This window comes from Homo sapiens, chromosome 17 (assembly GCF_000001405.40).
Source record: "Homo sapiens chromosome 17, GRCh38.p14 Primary Assembly".
NCBI lineage: Eukaryota > Metazoa > Chordata > Mammalia > Primates > Hominidae > Homo > Homo sapiens.
In genome coordinates, this window is record NC_000017.11 from 73,953,830 (window position 1) to 73,975,666 (window position 21,837).

At 45.8% G+C, this 21,837-nt stretch overlaps 2 annotated features.

Annotated features, from left to right (window-relative positions):
- Window positions 19,821–20,520: an enhancer, noted in NCBI's record as "H3K4me1 hESC enhancer chr17:71969789-71970488 (GRCh37/hg19 assembly coordinates)". NCBI's record gives its function as "activates a minimal SCP1, AML or CMV promoter by ChIP-STARR-seq in naive H9 embryonic stem cells {active_cell/tissue: H9 hESC(naive)}" and the evidence as "EXISTENCE:reporter gene assay evidence [ECO:0000049][PMID:30033119]".
- Window positions 20,521–21,218: an enhancer, noted in NCBI's record as "NANOG-H3K4me1 hESC enhancer chr17:71970489-71971186 (GRCh37/hg19 assembly coordinates)". NCBI's record gives its function as "activates a minimal SCP1, AML or CMV promoter by ChIP-STARR-seq in primed H9 embryonic stem cells {active_cell/tissue: H9 hESC(primed)}" and the evidence as "EXISTENCE:reporter gene assay evidence [ECO:0000049][PMID:30033119]".

The window sequence follows — 21,837 nt, forward strand, 5'->3', positions numbered from 1 at the left end:
AGAATCACATATACACACACAATCACATACACACAGACACAATCATACACACGCAGAGACACACAGAATCACATACACATATACACAGAGACACACACATATACACATACAGAACACACAGAATCACATATATACATACAGACACACAGAATCACATACACACAGAGACACACAGAATCACATAAACACAGACACACACAATCACATATACACACACACAGAATCACATATACATATACACACAGAGACGCACAGGCACACATTCATGCACACATTCACACAGATTCATTCACACACAGACACACCCCCTCACACAAGATCACACCACACGCATGCTCATTCACACACAACACCAACACCCACATTCATTCACAGACTCACAAAACTTACACACATATACGCACACACCATTCACACACTCATGCAAGATACCTTACAAATACACAGACACACGCAGACACAAATACACACATAGACCCCTCACAGATGCACACACCAATGCACACAGGTACACTCATTTGCACACCACACACCCACTTACACACCAATACACATACTGGCACACTCATACACAGACCTATAAACACACAGACCCACCCATACTCAGACATACTCATTTGCATACCCACTCAGCAACACAGACTCACATTCACATACATGACAGAGACAAACTCACACAGGCACACTCACATTCACACAGGCACATTCACACACACCCTATTATGCACATTCTCACAACAGACATGCTTACACACATTCACACAGTCACACACACACACACACACACACACAATCTCGTACTGAAGCCCAGGCAGTGTCTACCAGCTACACAGACATTGTGGACAGTGGAGTGGTGAGAGGTACAGGCGTATTCAGGTCAGGCAGGTGGGATCTGAGCAGAGGCATCATGAGCCCAAGGGCACCTTGGTGGCAAGGACATCACCTATTGTTTCTCTGCATCTTCCCCCTCCCCGCCCAAATCATGCAGCACAGTGCAGGGCACACAGGTTCATCATAAGTGTTTCTTCAATGAGCAGACAGGAGCTACCCAAGCTTCAATGTACGTAAGAATGCATAGTGGCCGCCATTTTACAGGTTGAACTTGGAGCTTCAAAGCAGCCTTGGATAAAACCACTGGGCCATTCTCCAAAAAAGAGAATGGAGAATGTCAACGTCCTTAATTGTCTGCCTGTATTCCATGTACTTCCTGACTTAGAGCCTTGATTGACAAAATCCCCGTTCCAAGAAAATCTCCCTGCATCACCGCAGGCACTGTGTGTTTGGCAAGTAGACTTTCAACTTTGGGTTGTGGCATGAATAAATAAATGACTAAATCAGCAAGCAGTTTTCCCTGCACCTTGGCACAGGTCTGGGTACAATCAAGGCATCAGTCAAGATGGGAGGGTAGTGGGTGGGTGTGGCCTTTAAAAGATGGGAGTTCTGCCTCAGCTCACTACTTAGCCCGGCACAGTGGCTCATGCCTGTAATCCGAGCACTTTGGGAGGCTGAGGTGGGAGAATAATTGAGCCCCTCCAGTCAAGGTTGCAGTGAGCCATGATAGAACAAGATGTTGTCAAAAAAAAAAAAAAAAAAAAAAAGAAAGGAAGAAAAGAAGAAAAGACAGAAAAGAAGGAAGGGACGGGAAGGGGAGGGGAGATCCGAAAAGCAAAAACTAAAAACCTCACTTCTAAGGCACTTTCTGGAATCGTTCCACTCCACTCGGATCTCCCTCTTTATTGGGCATCGTTTTGGTGAGTAATGAATTCAACCTGAGCCCCATTCCTGTGGGAGGTTAGCCATTTCACTTTCCTAGATGTGTGAGTATGTGTGAACCTATCGCCATCACCTCTTCTCCCATTAGTCTGTAATTCCCCCTGAGCAGATCGGGCTGTTTCCATTGAGATTTCTTTGGCAATGATGACACAACTCTGCCAGCAGCAAGTGTCCAGCCAGACACCTGGGTCACCCCCTAGTTGGACGGTGCTGGGGGAAGCTCTGGCATGGGCAGCTCCACCTCGGATGCTTCCTGGAGTAGATGTTCTGGCTGGTGTCCATGGAGATGGAATGGGAGAGGGACTTCCTTAGCCACAGCCACGCATGTCTTCCCCTTTATGGGAAAGTATCTGAGTGCTGGTCATTTTCAGACCCTAGGGAAGTATCTAATTGCCCTCCTGGAGAGCCCCTACTTATAGAGAAGATGGCAAGGCTGTCAGAGAATCCAATGCCACATTTCCCAAAAAAAGGAGGAAAGGCGGGCCCCAAGAGGGCCCTCAGCAGGTACAGAATTGGAACTGCCAGACAGACACGCCTTTTCCCATGCTACAACCTTGGCTGCCATGCCCCTACTCCCCTTACTCCTGCTTCTAGAAGAAAAGGAAGGGAGAAAAATGCAGGAATTTTCCAGAAAGATCCAGAAACTCCCCCAAATTGCCAGAAGTCTCCAGGCTTGTATATTAATGCAGTGGTGCAGTGCAGTAATTTACTCTAACTACCTGGGTGTGCCCTTGATTCTGGCTAGATTAGATTGAATCAACAAAGAAGCAGCACAGAGTCCTCCAGTGCTGGAGCTGAGAAACCCCAGAGAATGCAAGGAGGCTTCATTTCCTGATTTTCTCATCTGTACAATGGGGTGGTAATAGCACCCACATCACAGATTGCTGTGAGGACTCAGTGACTCAGACCATATAAAACGCTTGGCATGGTACCTTCCACATAGCAAGTGCTGCATAAAGGCTGATGATGATGAGGCCGATGATGAAGGCAAAGAAACTACTCCTTGCCCAAGGTCATCTGGGCGACTTAGTGACAGAGCTGCAATTAGAACAGGGGTCTCTCCAAGTTAGGCCACGCTGGATAGCCTTGCTGCCAGTTCCTGGTGCTTTTGTATCTTCACGCCTCCCCCCAGGCCCAGCTGAGCACCATCAGGGCCTCAACAGAACCAACAGTGCCCCCTGCAGGCCTTGGCCTCCTGGGACTGTTCAATTCAGGGCTGAGGCCTCTGGGAGCAGTGGGAACGTTTGCCTACAAAACAGGTTCTGTGGAATGCTGCTGGGACACTAGGGTTTTGCCTCCGAAGATGGCTTCCCTGGAGTCAACAGTTGCCTGTCTTCTTCCCGCCTCACTCCTCCTCTTGCCAATCTTCTTAGCACCCAGGATTAAGCATAAACATGGGAGTAGGGGACACGAGACCCAGGTTCCAGGACACTTAAGCCACTGGCTGGCTCCGTGGCTGCAGGCAATTCCCCTGACAGTCCTAGGCCTCTTTCCTAGAGGCCTTCCAACGTCCCAGACAGCTGCCAAGTCCAAGGATACCCTGAGCTCCTCTAAGCTCTGGCCAGCAGGAGTTCAGGACGTACCTTGCTGCAGTGTGGGGTGATTTGGGCGCCCCAGCAGCTTATTCAGAGGGTGCAACATCAAGTTCATTTCCTCCTTCCTCGTTCCTGCCAGCCCAGCCCAGCCCAGCCCAGCCCAGCTCAGCCCAGCTCAGCGCTGGGCCCTCCACCTCTGCTTCCCCTCCACCACCTGTCTAGGGCAGTGTGGTCCAGGGTAGCTGCAGGCCCACGTACCAGCACACATTGCCGCCTGTCTGGGCTCTCCTGCTGTGTGTGCTGCTTGGGGAAGAGTGGGATCCACCCATCCATTTTTATCCAGCACTTCGCGGGGTCACATTATGTGTGGAGTGTGTGATGAAGCCTTCCAATGATGCCTCCTGACAGAGCCAAATCTGACTTCCATAATGGCCTGAGAAAAGGTCATAGCCTGGGACTCTGTATTACTCTGTCACAGAAATTAAAGGAGCAGTTTGCCACAATAAAGGACCGTCTGCTTGGTGGCCTGCTCACCCTTGCCGGCTTCCTCCTGCTATCTTTTCTGATAATGTGGATAAGAATCTGCTTGCAATGGCAGGCAGGATTAATTCACTCTCCAGCACTACAGAGAAGCCGCTGAGTACAGCTGCCTCCGCCACCTCCCTGGGGACACACCTCAGGATGAAAATCACAGCTGGGGGTGCAGGGAGGGAGCCGTACTGAAGAGTTTATGTTGACCAACTTCTTTCCTAGGGTTTATCTCTTTATTTGCCCCACCCTGATCCAAAAAGTACACAAGAAGAAAAAAACCCGGGTGCTAACAATGTGCTAGTTTTTTTCAGTGGTTATTTGTGGGAGAGGGCATGGGAAAAGAGCTGAGTGGGGTTAGGGATGTGAGTTTTCAATTATTAATTTGTACATATATTTTAAAGTTTTGAATAATTTTTAAAGTTTTTGAATTTTCCAAATGAACAAAACCAAGCACCTTCCCTGGGAGATGGTAAATGCATGTGTTGAAATGCCTGCATCGCATCTATATGCAAGCTCAGGTGAAGGTGGGTAAGCAAGGATGCCGCTGAGCCCGACAGGTGTGGGGTTTGCTGGGGGGTGGAGAGGAAGGACAAACCCCTGGAAGAGTGAGATGACCATTCGCAGCTCCCAGCATCACTTAAGACTTGATATTAGATAACTTGGTCAGATTAAATAGAAAACATTTCTCACCAGCATCCTAAATCTCTCTTAGTTTTGATATTTACTTATGATGCTTGTTTTTATTTTATTTTTTTCTTGAAAGGGTTTACAGGCTCCACACCCCCAGTCTCTGTGCATGGCTTTGAATTTTACAAATGGAGGCTGTAGCCTGGGGAAGACAGTGCTGCTTCCATCGTGAGCTGCGCTGTGGCTGTCTCCTTCCCATCTGCAGGAATTGAGGAATTCCTAAGATGACTTGTTTGGGGGCTGCTTTGCTGCTGGGGGTGGGGAAAGACAACTTTCTGGCAGTGGCTCTTGAGTGAACCAAAATTGCCATGGATAACAAATGATGCAATACTAGGTCCTGAGCAAGGAAAAGGCATAAACCCCGGAATTGGAGAAAGCTGCTTCTAACATAACTGACTCCTCTCAGTTCTTGAGAGTAAGAACCACAGAGCAGAAAAAGTGCTGGGTGCCTCAGCTCTGCAGCCTGGTCCAGGCGACCAGCTCCCACTCCTGCTCCTGACAGAGTTGAGGAAGAAAAGATCCAGCTCTGCTGAAGATAGGTCACCTTGAGGAAGAGTCGGTTCAAAACTTTGTCAGAAGAAGCCTGGAAAACTGTCAAAGAACCTCACATCCCTGACACCAGTGAATCTTGACTCCTCACATGACAGCAAAGCCCAGGAGGGAGGCATTTTCAGACAATTCTTGGCAAGACGCCTCCGGATATTACAGTCCTTGCAGGTGTATACAAACAGCCAGGAGGGTCAGAAGACACCAATGCTGGCGGCTTCGGGCTTCACTCGAAGGACATTTCTCTGATCATTTCCAACAAGGCCCTGAGCCAAAGTATGTGAAATCCTCCGCATTTTTTTCTTTCACTTTTTTACTATAAGAAAGGACAAATATGTACAAATAAACAGAAGAGTGTGATGAATCCCCATGAACCCATCACGAAGCTTCAACAATTATCAACATTGTTTTGTCATTCTGGTTTCATCTATCCCTCCTACTCAACACCTCTACACTAGATTATTGGGTTTTATTTTGCAGTTTTTTAGATAAGATTTATATACATTGAAATGCACAAAAATCTTCCCTCTACAAGTTTGACAAATGGATACGGCCATGTAACCCAACTCCCCACTACAATATAGGACATTGATGGGGTTTGGGTGTTTGTCCCCTCCAAATCTCATGTTGAAATGTGATTTCCAATGTTGGAGGTGGGCCTTGTGGTAGGTATTGGATCATAGGGTAGATCCCTCACGAATGGCTTAGCACTACCTCCTTGGTGATAAGTGAGCTTTTACTCTGAGTTCACAAGAGATCTGGTTGTTTAAAAGTGTGTGGTACCTCCCCCCATTGCTCTCTCTTGTTCCTGTTCTCACCATGTGGTACACTGGCTCTACTTTCACCTTCTACCGTAATTGAAAACTTCCTGAAGTCTTTGCAAGAAGCAGATGGTGGTGCAATGCTTTGTATGCAACCTGCAGAACCATGAGCCAATGAAACTTCTTTCTTTATAAATTTCTCAGCCTCAGATATTTCTTTATAGCAACACAAAAATAGCCTACTACACAAAATTGGTGCCTAGGAGTGGAGTGTTGCTATACAGATACCTGAAAATGTGGACACAGCTTTGGAACTGGGTAACAGGCAAGGTTGGAAGAGTTTGGAGGGCCCAGAAGAAGACAGAAAGATGAGGGAAAGCTTTGAACTTCTTAGAGACTTGTTAAGTGACTATGACCAAAATACTGAGGGAATATGGACGGTGAAGGCCAGGCTGACAAAGTCTCAGATGGAAATGAGGAACAGATTGGGAACTGGAGTGAGGGTCACCTGTGTTAAGCCCTAGCAAAGAGCTTGGCTGCATGGTATCCAGGTCATAGGGATCTGTGAAAGTTGAACTTAAGAGTGATGATTTAGGGTATCTGGTGGAAGAAATTTCTAAGTAGCAAAGCATTCAAGAAGTAGTGTGGTTGCTTCTAACAACCTACTATCAGATTCAGGACAAAGGAATGACTTAAAGTTGGAACTTTAAGTTCCAACTTAAAAGGGAAGCAGAGTGTAAAAGATTGGAAAATTTGTGGCCTGGCCATGTGATTGGGAGTGGGGGAAAAGCATTTTCAGGAGATAAAACAAGCAGGCTGCAGAGCAACCACTTGCTAGAGAGATTCTCATGAGTAAAAGGGAACCAAGTGCTAGTATCCAAGACAATGAGGAAAAGGCCTTGAAGGCATTTCAGAGATCCTCTAGGCAGCCCCTGCCATCACAGGCCCAGAGGCCTAAGAGGAAAGAATGTTTGCAGGAGCAAGGCCTGGGGCCCCATTGTGCTGCTCAACCTCAGGACACTGCTCCCTGCATCACAGCTGCTCCAGCCTCAGCTCAAAGGGGCCCAGGTACAGCTCTGGCCACCACTCTAGAGGGTGCAAGCCATAAGCCTTGGTGGGTTCCACATGGTGTTGAACTTGCAGGTGCTCAGAATGCAAGCATAAAGAAGGCTTGGTGGCTTCTATTTAGATTTCAGAGCATGTATGGAAAAGCCTGGGTGCCTGGCAGAAGCTGCCACAGGGGCAAAGCCCCCACAGAGAAACTCTACTAGGGAAATGCAAAGGGGAAATGTGGGGTTGGAACTCCCACACAGTTCACTGCCTAATGAAGCTGTGGGAAGGGGGCCACCACCCTCTAGATCCCAGAATGGTAGAGCCACTGGAAGCTTACATCCTCAGCTTGGAAAAGCCACAGGAGCTCAACTCCAACCCATGACAGCAGCCATGGGGACTGCACCCTGGAAAGCCCCAGGGGCAGAGATGCCCAAGGCCTTGGGAGCCCACCCTTTGCACCACTGTGCCCTGAACGTGGAATGTCATTTCAAGATTTTAGAGCTTTGAGATTTAATGACTGCCCTATTGGGTTTCAGACTTGTTGCCCCTTTCTCTTGGTAGATTTATCCCTTTTGGAATGGGAATGTATACCCGATGCCTGCACCACCATTGTTTCTTGGGAGTAAATAACTTGTTTTTGATCTCAGGTTTGTAGGTGGAAAGATGAGACTTTGGACTTTAGACTTTTGACTTGGGACTGTTAATACTGGAATGAGTTAAGATTTTGGAGGATTATTGCAAAGTCATGACTGTATTTTGAAACGTGAGAAGAACATGAGATTTGGGGGATCAGAGGCAGAATGATATGGTTTGGGTGTTTGTCCTCTCCAAATTTCATGTTGAAACATGATTCCCAGTGTTGGAGATGGGGCCTATTAGGAGGTGATTGGATCATGGTGGTAGATCCCTCATGAATGGCTTTGCACCATCCCTTTGGTGATAAGTGAGTTCTCAATCTGAGTTTGCAAGAGATCTGGTTGTTTAAAAGCATATAGCACTTTTCCTCTTGCTGTCTCTTACTCTCTCTCACACCATATGATATGCCAGCTCCACCTTCACTTTCCACCATGATTGTAAACTTCCTGAAGCCCTCACCAGAAGCAGATGCTGGGGCCATGCCTCATGTACAGGTTGCAGAACTATGAGCCAATTAAACCTCTTTTCTTTATAAATTACCCAGCCTCAGGTATTTCTTTATGGCAATGCAAAAATGGCCTAATATAGACATTTTCATCTTATTAGAATAATCTATAGTGTTTCTTCCCTGTCAATATCCCCCACCTTTGTCAGGCAACCACTACTCAAATTTTTTTTCACCATAGATTTGTTGTACTGGTTCTAAAAATGTATATAAATAAAACCATATGGTATATACAGTTTTATGTCTGGATTAATTCTATCTGCTTAACTACAGTAAGATTATTCCATGTTGTTGCATGAACCACTAGTTCCTTTTTTGTTGCTCAGCAGTTTTCCCTTGTAGGTTTATTCCACACTTGTGTATCTACTCTTCTGTTGAAGGACATTTGCACTCTTCCCAATTTGGGTTATTATTAATAGGATTGTAATGAATAATTACACATAGGACTTTTTGGACGTATGTTTTCCTTGCTCTTGGATAAACACCTAGAAGTAGATTTACTGGGTCAAAAGATAGGTACATGATTAACTTTATGAGAAATTGCCAAAACTTTCTTGAAAGTGGCTATAACATTTTGCACTCCCACAAAGCACATAAGACTTCTAGTTGCTTCACATCCTTGTCAACATTTCTTGTTGAAAGTCTTTCCACTTTAGACTTTCCAGTAGGTGTGACTATGTAGTATATCTTTTTATGGCTTTAATTTGCATGTACTTGATAATGAATACAATGTTGAGCTCTTTTATATGTGCTTATTGTCCATTCATAAATCTTCTTTGGTAAGGTGTCTCTTAAAATCCTTTCACCATTTTCTAGCGAGTTGATTTTCTTTTCATTATTGACTTTTAGATGTTGATTTTGTATTCTAAATATAAATCCTTTATCAGATACATATTTTGTGAATGTTTTCTCCCAGTTTGTGGCTTGCTATTTTCTTAATTGTGTCTTTTGATGAGAAGTTTTTAATTTTAAGAATTTATCCATTTTCTTCTCTTACAGTTATTATTTTCTGTGTCTTGTAAAAAAACAACAACAACAACAAAAAACTTTTCTTACCCTAGATTACAAAGATATTCTTTTTTTCCTAAAAGCTTTTAAATGTTAGCTTTAATGTTTGGGTCTATCATTCATCTTATATTAATTATTGTATGTTGTGTGAGATAAAGGTTGAAATTCTCTTTTATTCTCCCATGTAGACACCAAGTTGTTCTAACAGCGCTTGTTAAAAGACTTTTCTTTATCCATGTAAATGTTTTAGTCCCACTGTCAAAAATCAATTGATCATGTAAATCTCTTTCTGGCCTATTCTTTTTTATTGACCAGTTTGTCTACTATTATACTGTTTTAATTACTTTACAGTGAGTCTTAAGTTTAGAAAGTATAAGTTTCCTAGCATTGATCTTCTTTTTCAAGACTGGTTGGTTATTCTAGGTCTTCTGTTTTTCCTTATGAATTTTAAAAGCATATTATCAATTTCTATTTTATAAAAGTCTGGAGGAGTTTTGATTGGGATTGAATTGAAATATAATTGGGGAGAATTTACATCTTAACAATATTGAGTCATCTAATTCTTGAACATGGTATGTCTCTCCATTTATTACAGAGATAATTATTATAGAAATACAAAAATACATTATGGAAATTATTACAGAACCTGTCATTTGTCTCAATAGTATTTTGTAGTTTTATGTATACAGACCTTGCAGACCTTTTGATAAATTTATTTCTGCTATGAGGCTAGGAGCAGTGGCTCATGCCTGTAATCCCAGCACTTTGGGAGGCTGAGGCAGGCAGATCAGCTGAGGTCAGGAGTTTGAGACCAGCCTGGCCAACATGATGAAACCCCGTCTCTACTAAAAATACAAAAGTTAGCCAGCCATGGTGATGCACACCTGTAGTCTCAGCTACTTGGGAGGCTGAGGTGGGAGGATCACTTGATCCTGGGAGGCAGAGATTCCAGTGAGCTGAGATTATGCCGCTGCACTTCAGCCTGAGCAACAGAGTGAGACTCCAACTAAAAAAAAAAAAAAAAAAAAAAATGTATTTCTGCTATGGACTGAACTGTGTTCCCTAAAACTTCTCATGTTGAAACCTTAACTCTCAATGTGATTGTATTTTGAGATAGGGCTGAGATATAGGAGGTAATTAAGGTTAAATGAGGTCATAAGAGTAGGGTCCTAATCTGATAGGATTGGTGGCTTAAAAGAAGAGGAAGAGAGTTCATTCTCTCTCTCCATGAGCACAAACCTAGACAAGGCCATGTGAGAACACAATGAGAAGATGACCACCTGAAAGCCAGGAGGAAAGCCCTCACCAGAACCCCACCATGCTGGCACCCTGACCTCAGACTTCCACCCTCCAGAACTGTTAGAAAATAAATTTCTGTTGGTTAAGTTGCCCAGTCTGCAGTATTTTGTTATGGTAGCCTGAGCAGATTATTTTGTTTTTATTTTTTGAGAGACAATTTAGCTGGGTGTAGAATTCTGGGTAGTAGGTTCTTTTCTTTTCCTTTCAGCACTTTAAAGTTATTGTTCCCCTATCTTCAACCTCCTTTGTCTCTGATGAGATGTCAGGCACCATTAGTATCTTGTAATTGAATGTGGTGGTGTTTTTCTCTGTTTTCAAGAGTTGTTCCTTTGTCTTCAGATTTTAGCTATTTGATTATGACGGGCCTAGATGTGGTCCACTTTGTATTTATTCTACTTGGGATTCATTGAGCTTTTTGGATCTATAAATTCATCACTAGATTTTGGGGATTTTCAGTCATTATTTCTACAAATATTTTTCTGCCTGATTTTCTGTCCCCTCTCCTTCTAGTACTCCAATTACACATATTTTAGCTTGATATTTTCCACATATTTATGAGGTTCTGTGCATTTCTATTACTTTCTTTCTCTGTATTTTTCCACTGGATACTTTCTATTGACCTACCTTCAAGGTCACTGACTCTTTCTTCTTCCATTTCCAATCTACTACTGAATGATTCAAGGGATTCTTTTATTTCAGTTATATACATTTTAAGTGTAAAACTGTACTGCCCAATAATGTAATCACTGTGTGCCTTTTAAAATTCTAATTAATTTTTGGTTCATTCACAGCAGCTACATTTCAGGTGCTCAAGAGCCACATGAGGCTAGTGACTATTGTGTTAGACAGTGCTGATATAGAACAGTTCCATTGCTGCAAAAGTTCTTTGAACAGCATTACTCTAGAATTTCCATTTGGCTCTCTATGATAATTTCTATTTCTTTACTGTGATTTCTCATTTTGTATGTATTTTCCATATGTATATATTTTAAGTCTTTGAGCATATTTATAATAGCTGTTTTCAATTCCTTATCTACTAATTGCAACATTTGGATCATCCTGGGGTTGATTTCTACTGATGGGATTTTTTTTTTTTGGTAGAGGCAACATTTTCCTATTTATGTGTCTAGTGATTTCTGATTGGATACTAAACATTTTTTTTAAATACACTGTAAAGACTCTGAAGTCTGTTTTGTTTTTCTGTCAATTTATTCAGTCATGCAAGCCAATTGAGTATCTCAATCTCCAAAAATCATCTCCCCCTTGACCAGTAGCAACTAAAATCTCCACCAGTTTCTTCCACTTCCAGTTGCTTTTTTTTTTCCTGATCCTTATCATTATTATTAGACCAATATCATTATCAAATCCACCCAAAAAATTGTCAAGTCTCTTCTCAATATACATATCTTAGATGTGCCAAGAATTTGGGTGAATCTCATATGTATTTTGGGCTCTCCTCCTTTGAGGCACACTTCCTTCAAGTATTTCCTTCTTAACTTTTTTTTTTTTTTTTTTTGACACAGAGTCTTGCTCTGTCACCCAGGCTGGAGTGCAGTGGCATGATCTCAGCTCACTGCAACCTTCTGCGCCTCCTGGGTTCAAGCGATTCTGTGCCTCAGCCTCCCAAGTAGCTGGGATTACAGGCGCCCACCACCATGCCTGGCTAATTTTTGTATTTTTAGTAGTGATGGGGTTTCACCATGTTGGCCAGGCTGGTCTTGAACTCCTGACCTCAGGTGATCCATCCACCTTGGCCTCCTAAAGTGCTGGGATTACAGGAGTAAGCTACTGCACCCGGCCAACTTTCTTTCTTCCTGTCCGGAATGCTGTCCTCTGATACCTCAAGCCAATACAGTTGTAGCTTTCTACCACCTCAATTTATGCACAGATTTGGGAGTTCCAGGCAAAACGCTTCCAACTCACAAATATCATTCATGCGGTCTCACAAGGGCAGACTCACCTCTGGTTTCTGCCTACTTTTGGGTATTCCTCTGTGCTGTTTTGTGTTTTGCTCAGAGTTTATAATTGTCATCTGTGGAAGACTTACTGTGACCAAATTACTACACTACTACCAGAAGGCAGTAGCTCCCACCTTGTGTTTTTATTTTTTATAGTAAACTGAAATAGTCACTCAGTTTGTGTTGCTGAAGACTATTAACATTAAGGCATATCATCTTAGGAGGAGAAGCTTCTTGATAGCATAGAGGAAACGCAAAGCCTGGCCTCATACCATTAGCTGTCAGAGTCCAAAGTCATCAGTACCTCTAGGTTACAGTTGTCAGTGATTACTAAGGAACACAGACTATGTAAGAGGAAAATATCACAGTCCTAACTTGACCTAACCTTTCCTTCAATTACCTTCAATCCCTAGAAACAACTTTTGCTTTCTCTTCCATGGAAAGAAATGTTAGAGCTTGAGAATCGAATCAGCATTGTTATCATACCCACCCCCATTGTTATACCCACCCCCCAAAATTCTCCTTAAACCACCTCCTTAAATGCATAGATCATGCTCATACAGAAGCCTAACAGTTCAGTAGTAATCGGATGATAGATGTGCATGCGGGTGCTCAGAAGGCATATTGCATATGGCAGGGGGTAGGGAACCCAGTCTTGCCATTTTTTTAGCTGTGTGGTCTTGAGAATTTTTTTTAACTGCTCTAAGCCACAGTTTTCTCATCTGTAAATTTGGGATAATAGTATCTATTTTGTAGGGTTGTTAAGAAAGTTAAATTTTTAAAGTATAGAAAGTACCTATCATACTGTTGCTAACAGAAGACTCTCAAGAATTCTGTTTCCTCCCCTGCTTCCTTAAGATCTGTATACAATGCACTTGAGGTCTCTACCATTAACCACTTGAAATTCCAGTTGGAGGAAAAGTCTTACCAGCAAAAAGAAATTCCCCAAATTTATCCACATCAGTAATAGTTGTCTAGATACTTGTCACTCACCCAGAGTGACCCTGAACATGGCATCTTCAGTTCAGAATTTCTGAGGACTGCTTCAATTTCCTACAGTTTCATGGAAACTATACTTCATAGGATTCCTGGTGCAAGACCACTTTTCAATGCAGTCCTCCAATTTACAGGATCATCCAAGAAATAAGTCCCTTTAAATCATCTAGTATCCAGATGAGAAAACCTGTGACATCATAACTTCCATCGTCACTTCCTTAGGCTAATGAATTAATGCTGTTTGCATTCACCTGTCCTAAGATGAAATTCATGCAAACCTGATTGCATTGCCCCCAAAACTGGACAAAAGCTTCCAACCTGCCCAGGGCTTTTCATTCATTTTATCTTCCATAAAAGGCAACCATCGTTGAACCACTTTAGTGCCCACTGAGAAAAGACCTTCCAAGGTGTTGGATCTACCAGTGAACATCTGCTTCTCAGAATGTCAAGCAGTTATTGACTTTTTGCTTTGTGCGAGCACATTGCAATGTTCTGTTTCTTATCATGGGCACTTCGCCTAAAGTGTTGGAGCCGTGCTTATCCACAAAATGAGAGGTGGCCCTGAGGCTCTAATTACTTACCACTGAAGAACAATGTCATCGCAGGAGGAACAACCCACAAACTGTCTGCACAGGAGTCCAGCTGCTCCCCAACTATCTGTGCAAGCCTGTCCCTACAAACTACCTGCACAAGGCTATGGGGGATTTATTTCTAATGATGAACCAGTCCCCGGGACCCATGAAGGAGACTTGCCTTTAGTGCTTAGAACTAAAAATCAGATGTTTGCCAGTGAGTGCAGACAGGCAGTACTGAATCCTTCCCTGAAATGCCTCCCTGCTCATTGCAGATTAGGTTGAGCCACCCTCATATTAAGTTATCACTTGGATTCATTCACTCATTCGATGCTTATTGAGGGTCTACCTGTATAAAGACAGCAGTGAACAAAATAGCCACTGGCCCTGCCTGGAGTAGCTTATATTATAGTGCAGTGAGACAGATAATAAACAAATGGATAAATATAATATCATGTAGTGATAAGTGCTGAGGAAGAAAATAACAGAGAAGCCGAAGACAGGTGCAGTGCCTCAGGCCTATAGTCCTAGCTGAGGCAGGAAGATCCCTTGAGCCCAAGAGCTCAAGGCTGCAGGTGAGCTAGGATTGCACCACTGCACTCCAGCCTGGGCAACAGAGTGAGACCCTGTCTCTAAAAATAAAGAGAGAAAGTAAAGAAAATAATAGAGTAGGATCAAAGGCTAGAAAGTGAGGGAGTCAAGGAGTTATTTATTGCAGAGTGCTTAAGAAACCCTTCCCAGTAAGATAGTATTTGAGCAGAGACCTGAAGACCATGCACACACCTTAGAGAAGTGTGTCTGGTGGAGGCTGCAGTAAGGGCAAATGTCTGCAGCAGGAGCATCCTTGTTGAATTTGAGGAATGACAAGGGGAAAATGAGGCAGGAGCAGAGAGAGCAGGAGGCAGGGAGGCAGGAAGTGAGCCCAAGAAGTTGAATGAGGCCAAATCCTGTAGGGCCCCTCCTTCAGCTGATGCCGAGGCAATAGCAGCAACTTCCTAGCAGGCATCCTGGCTTCCAGTCTTGCTTGCCTCCAACCCATTTTCCGCACAGGTACTGGAGTGAGCTCCCTGATGTAACCAGGTTGCCTTCCTATGTAACACCCTCAAATGCTTCCATTCCATTGAGTGCAGGATCAAGCTCAAGCTCCTTAAGCTGTACCACAAGGGCTTCCTTGAAACTGGCGCCCCCTCCAGCCTCTCTTCTCTGTAATTTATGCCCCAGCACAACCAAGCTGCCTGAACTTGCCCCACTGCATGGAGCTCCTTCCTCTCCCAGCCATCACTCACGGGCCTCCTCTGTCTGGAAGGCACACACCAAATTGATTCAGCCAGTGACTCAAGAGTCAGGACCATAGAGGCCATTCAAGGTCAGTTACTGGGTGAACAAGGAGAAATCTATCCCAGGCACTGATAATAGGCATAACCAAGAATCAGCTCTAAGGATGCTATTAGGATCCAAAACCAAGGTAAGAAGAGGCAGATGCTCACACTGCAGGAACTGGTTAATTCCATCAGGGGATGTTTCTTAGGACAGGAACAACAAGTGTTGACTGAGTGCAGGCTTCTCATAGAAGACCCACTACACATCACAAGACATACAAAACACTGTATGTATGTGTTTTCTCTAATCCTCACAGCACAAATTATACAGATGAGATAAATGAGGTTGCCCAAATCCTAAGAAGCAGAGCTGGGATCCAAACCCCAGCAAATGCGATTCCACAGTCCATACTCTCATGCCTTCCAGAGCCGGGTAGGGAGGCAACAGCAGCATCAAAGATTGAAGGGTCCAGTGGCCGTGCCCTCCATGGAACCAGAGCCACCCACACACATGCATGCACTCGAAGAGGCAGCTACAGGGAAGGGACTGAAAACAAGCCTTGGTACCACCTGCCTGTGCTCAGTTCCTGGGTCTACATGGGTTAGCTCATGGCCTCTCTGTGCCTCAGTTGACTCAGCTGTAAAAACGAGGCAATTATTACTGGCACATAGGATTAGAAGAGTTAATTCCTGTAGAGCACTTACACAATGTCTGGTGCATGTTAAGTGCTCAATTAATGTTAGCTACACTAGCAAGACATGGCAAAGTCACACGAAAGTCCTCTTCCGGTCCACCCTGCTGGTCCGAGATCACTAGCACAGTGGTGGCAAGAAGTGGCCTGAATTTCAGAGAGCACAGGGTCAATATTTACCAGAATTTGCCTTTATTCTGCACTGGCCCGAAGAGGTGTTTTCTGGGGAGTCAACCCACCGCTTTGTGCAACCCTAGAGTGTGTCTTTGTGAGGAGGCTTCACCCTGCCCCACTCCTTTCCTGCTGCTCATTTTCATGTTCAGAGATGGCCACAGCGGTCACTGCTAGTTTAGTTCACTTCCTCTTCATTGTAAACTCCAAGTCCCAAACCTACCAGCCCTCACTCTCCTGAGCCGCTCAGCAGCCCAGCTGATTTCATCACAGCCATAACTCTCTAGAATAGCTGCCGTTACGCAACAGCTCCTAGCGCAAAACTGGTACGACTGTGTCTACTGCAATGTATTCATCAGTTTCCACAGGCATTTATTTAGTGCCTACTGTGTGTGTGTCATATAGATGCCTACTGAGCAGTCTCCCTCCACCATGCACCCCCACCATCACTGCAGACACGCTTCATTGTCATCCCTGAGTGGGAGCCATCTCTTTAGAGAGGGTATGAGATGTTTTGCCCGAGTTTGAGATAGTCCTCTCCTGGTGCCCCTCTGTTCCGTCCTCTCATCCCACGTCACCTGCTTGGGCTCCTCTCTGGCTCTAGCTCCTGCAGGGTGTCTCTTTTGCCTGGGTAGGAGACGTCCTCTCCCTCCTGATGCAGCCTCTGCTGTCTCTCCAACAGTCTGTGCTCAGCCTGGAGATCACCCCCAAAGGGGTCTGCTCCCTCGTCTCATGCCTACTTAACTGATCTGCCTCCAGCCATCACCGTCTCGGGTCTTCATGTCCCTGATGCTCTGTAGCCACCAAGAACATGTCCTGCTTCATAATCTCCTGTTGTTTTTTAAGCATTCCCTGTCACCACTCCCATCCCTATCTGTTGGGTATTTCTGCATCTCTGAGTTTCCTTTTTTTTTGAGACGGCGTGTCACTCTGGTGCCCAGGCTGGAGTGCAATGGCACGATCTCGGCTCACTGCAACCTCCACCTCCCGGGTTCAGGTGATTCTCCTCCCTCAGCCTTCTGAGTAACTGGGACTACAGGCATGCCACCAGTCCTGGCAATTTTTGTATTTTTAGTAGAGATGGGGTTTCACCATGTTGGCCAGGCTGGTCTCAAACTCCTGACCTCAAGTGATCTGCCCACCTTGGCCTCCCAAAGTGCTGGGATTACAGGCATGAGCCACTGCACCCGGCTTTCCTTCTCTCTTGAACACTGAGTTCTCAGCCATCTGTCCATTCATAAATCTTGCTACCCTCCTCGCCACTGCCCATCCAGAAGTCTACCAAACAATTCTAAGAACAAGTATTTTCACATCCAACTCCACATTTCCTTCCACGGCAGCTCCAGACTCTCAGACAGGTGGCCTTTGAACCCCAGATTCATGGGTATTTACAGACAGGTATCAACTCCACCATGAATCTAGAGTCTTGAAAATGAAAAAGAAATTTCAAATTGTGCCTCTGCTTTCAACTAGTATCACATTTCCGCTTTGCAAGAAACAGCAAGTGCAGCGTGGGTGACCAGATAGTGACCTGTCATTCCACACTCCTCCTGCAATGTCCATCAAGCTGGCTTCAAGTGAGTCTGCATATCATCTTTGCTACTGTGAAGATGCCACAGAGCTCTTGAGGGTACACAATAGGCATTCAGCCACACTCCTGCGCACATGGGTGCCTACAACTTCCCCATCCTTGTCTCAGGCTTATTTTTCTGTGGTATTAAAGGATCACAAAGAATTTCTAAGTCAGTCGAGTTCTTTGTTGCTATCATTAGTTGTAGTGCATGGAGGGGGTAAACAATGCAGCTTGTTCTTTTGCCTCTCCAGTTCCAGAGATTTATTTACTAGAATTTTTTTTTTTTTTTGCCATTGAGTTGGAAGAAATCAAGAAAGACTAATTACTTTCTTTTTTAGCTGAGCCTAAAGCTGGATACAAGGGTAAACCTGGGAGATTTACATCTGAGTGGCGGTTTTATGTCTCAGCCTGGAGGCGGTAGTTGAACCCACTGTGTCTTTGCATTTGTTTTTGGAAAACTGTGAGCATCACCCCCAGCATGGATGCCTGAGTGGCAACCAAGACCCTAATCTATAGCATGGGGTCCCCATCTGGACAATGATGCACCAATGAGTGCCGAGTAGAAGTGGATCCTATCCTCCTATGCTCCTCAGGATAGGCCACCCTGTGCTGTGAAAACAGACCACAAGAAACCCCAAAAGCTAAGTAAATGCCATGATGATCTTGCTCATGGATGCTCTGCTCATTGCAGTGACTTCAATGGCTACGAGAGACGCTGTCTCAGCCAGGGTAAGGGGATGCAGTGACTCACATTGGCTCACAGAGTAGACACAGCCGTGCCTACTTCCAGGGCTGGGGAGTGTGTCCTGCCACGTGCCCACAGCGGGGGCCACCGCGCTGATGATCACTGCAACTTGCACTCCTTTGAAGCTCTGGGGCTGCTCCCGCATCTGCGACAGTCAGCATAGCCCCTGACCACACCCTTTCTGCACTTTGGGTTCATGGGTTCATGGGTTCCATTTCGTTCCCCAACAGCAGTTTGGAAAACTTCTCATATATTTCTCCAGGTCACACCAACACAGGAGTGAAAACGGAGTTTCATCAGTTGAGAAGGAAAGAGGAGGGGAAGGAAGGGCAGGACAGGGGAGGGGAGGAGAGGGGAGACCTCAAGCTCATGCAGGTACAAGGGAGGTGTCCCCTGTACACTAGTCCCATGTCACTCGCCGGTGGCTCCTGGTCTGGCTGCAGCTGCTCTACCTTGCCATCCAGGTGCTCTGCCTTCTCTGGAACTTTGCCCTGTCGTCCTCAGACACCAGCTGTACCCCATCACCCTTGCATTACATGCTGGTACGTGGGCCACAGAGCAATATGAGCTTCTGTATTTGTATCCTTGCCTGACAGAAGTTCCCAGAACAGCTGGTGTGTTCCTGTGTCTGTCATTACCTTCTCCACACCCCAGGACAGAGAGACGGCAACAACGTAAAAAACACTCCCCACCATACTAAGTGACCCCTCCCCTCGGGCCCTGCACCTGTGCCCAAGAACCAACTCTACACTCCGACTCCTTTTCTCAGGATGGGTTGGTCTGTTTATTTTGCCCATAAGCCTCCTGCATTCCTCCCGCACGTCTCCTCCTGGCTGGACCTCTCCTGAATCCCAGGGCAGACAGAGGTTAGGGTCTTAAACAGCCCCCAGCATGCCCATAAGCAATGTCAGAGAAGCCACGAGGTGTCTACTGCAATGACAAGGAAGACATTGTTCACTGCTTCAATCACCGGAGAAGACAAATTCCCCACACAGTAGAGCCTGTCTGTGCACAGTGGGCTGAAACAGACACTTCTCCCCTCCAGAGTGCTGCAGAGGGGCCTCCTGCATTAGGAGAAAAGTTGGGCCAGGTGACCTCCTAGTCCTTCCAGCTCTGAGATTCAGCCATGTTCCTCCCAGCAGGGACTGATTGTATTTGCTTCACCCTTGGGAGCCAGCAGGGTTTGGAGCATAGAGAAGAGTGCACACACCCAGCGCCCTGGCTCCAATCGCCCCAGCTCTGTCCCTGACACAGCCTTCCCAGCTTTGGGGGAAGTCCTCAGGGGTGCGACAGGGCCCGGACTAGAGTGAAGCAAGTCCGGCCCTCAGTCCAGGCAGAAAATTTAGGGGGACCCCAGAAACTCACTAAACAAGATAATATTTATTGCGGCATTCTTAGGAAACCAACATGAAATAAAAACTATCCACAACGAACAAAATATCCAAATGTGGACTAAAGACAGGCCTTGTCCCTGTACTTGGACAACCCACACCCTAGTCCCAGCCCGGCCAGATCCTGTCTTTATTTCACATGTGGACAGCAGACAGTTTGCTCATCACAGATTTTCTCTGCTTCGACTATGTGTGATGGTCTTGACTCCTGAGTATTTGGCTGCCCCTTTTAAACGTGGCTGCAGGCAAGTGCCTCGCTCTCCCCATCCTGGCCTGGGTCCCGCCCCCCCCCAGGCCTCTGGAGCTGCCCTGCGCTATTTGCTCTCCCTCTCCTGTCGGCTTGGGCCGCCTTCATCTCTCATGGAGTTCCGGGCAGGGGACCACCCCTGTAGTAGACACTGTCGGTGCCCCAGCTACTCAGCCTTGGCCTTGACGGTTCCAACGCCCGTGGCTTCTGACTGCAAACACCCATGACTCAGTCTGGGAGCTTTCACAGGAGCCAGGAGCATGTTCACAGCCCACATCTGGGGAAGCCGGATCTGCCAGAGAATTAACCCCTATGGATGTTAAAACATCTCAGCTCCTCACCCCTCAGGAGGGATGATTTGGAATGATGTGGTGCACCTGGCCCTGAGGCCTGTGAAGGGATCCAGGTGCAGGATGTGGGCCTGGAACACACCCAGAGCCAGCTGCTCCCCTTCCACGCTCATTTCCTAGTCCCTTATCAGTGCTTCCTGGGATCACCTCCCCAGACAACTGCTTCTGGGGCCATCTGGCTGAGACAAACCAGCTGCCATTGCCACCTAGGGCCACCCATGCCCTGTCTACTGATGGCCCCCAGAGCCTCACAATGCCAATGCCACCTGGCTGAAGCCCCTTTGCTAATGCGGTCAGGTGGGACAAGGGGACAATCCCCTCTCCCATCCATCCCATGTCCCTTTGGCCCACAGACGGTTCTGGTGAGTGCAGGAAGCATCCCATTGCATCCCCAGCACCAGGCAGGGGGTCTTGTATGACAAACACCCTTCCTTTCCACTCTAGTCCTTCTGTGGCAGGCAGGTCTCACAGATGCAGGCTTCCATAACAACTGTTTCAGTACTGACTGAGTGGCTAAGCTAAATATTAAAAGCCAGCACCCTTACACAAAGGCTGGAATGTAACAAAGGCCCACCAGGAGTTTTGCCTAGGCCTTTCCTGGGCCTTAAAGCATGACAAGATAACAAAGGAATTCTTAACAGGACCCATTTAGGATTAAACAAGTTTTACTGGGGGTCTGAAGAAACTTGCCAAACCACTGTGACTTAGCCCGAGACAAGATAAGGGTAATCACCCCAGCACCTGGACCCATTTTAGATCAAGTAAATTTACTGAGGCTTCAGAGGAAGGTCTTCAGGACTCAGGCCTTAGGTATAGATTAAAATAAGTTAATCGCTTATGTCTTTTCTTTTTTTTTTTTTTTTTTTTTCCTGAGATGAAGTTTCGCTCTTATCATCACCCAGGCTGGAGTGCAATGGTGTGATCTCAGCTCACTGCAACCTCTGCCTCCTGGGTTCAAGCAATTCTCCTGCCTCAGCCTCCTGAGTAGCTAAGATTACAGGTGCCTGCCACCATGTGTGGCTAATTTTTGTATTTTTAGTAGAGACAGGGGTTTTACCAGGTTGGCCAGGCTGGTCTCGAACTCCTGATCTCAGGTGATCTGCCTGCCTCGGCCTCCCAAAGTACTGCAGGCATGAACCACTGCACCCAGCCAACTTACGTCTTTTTTTTTTTTTTCTTTTTTTTTTTTTGAGACGGAGTCTTGCTCTGTCACCCAGGCTGGAGTACAGTGGCACGATCTCAGCTCACTTCAACCTCCGCCTCCCGGGTTCATGCCATTCTCCTGCCTTAGCCTCCCAAGTAGCTGGAACTACAGGCACCCGCCACAACGCCTAATTTTTTTTTTTTGGAGAGATGGGGGGGTTTCACCGCGTTAGCCAGGATGGTTTCGATCTCCTGACCTCGTGATCCGCCCGCCTCGGCTTCCCAAAGTGCTGGGATTACAGGCGTGAGCCACCGCACCCAGCCCAACTTATGTCTTTAGATGAAT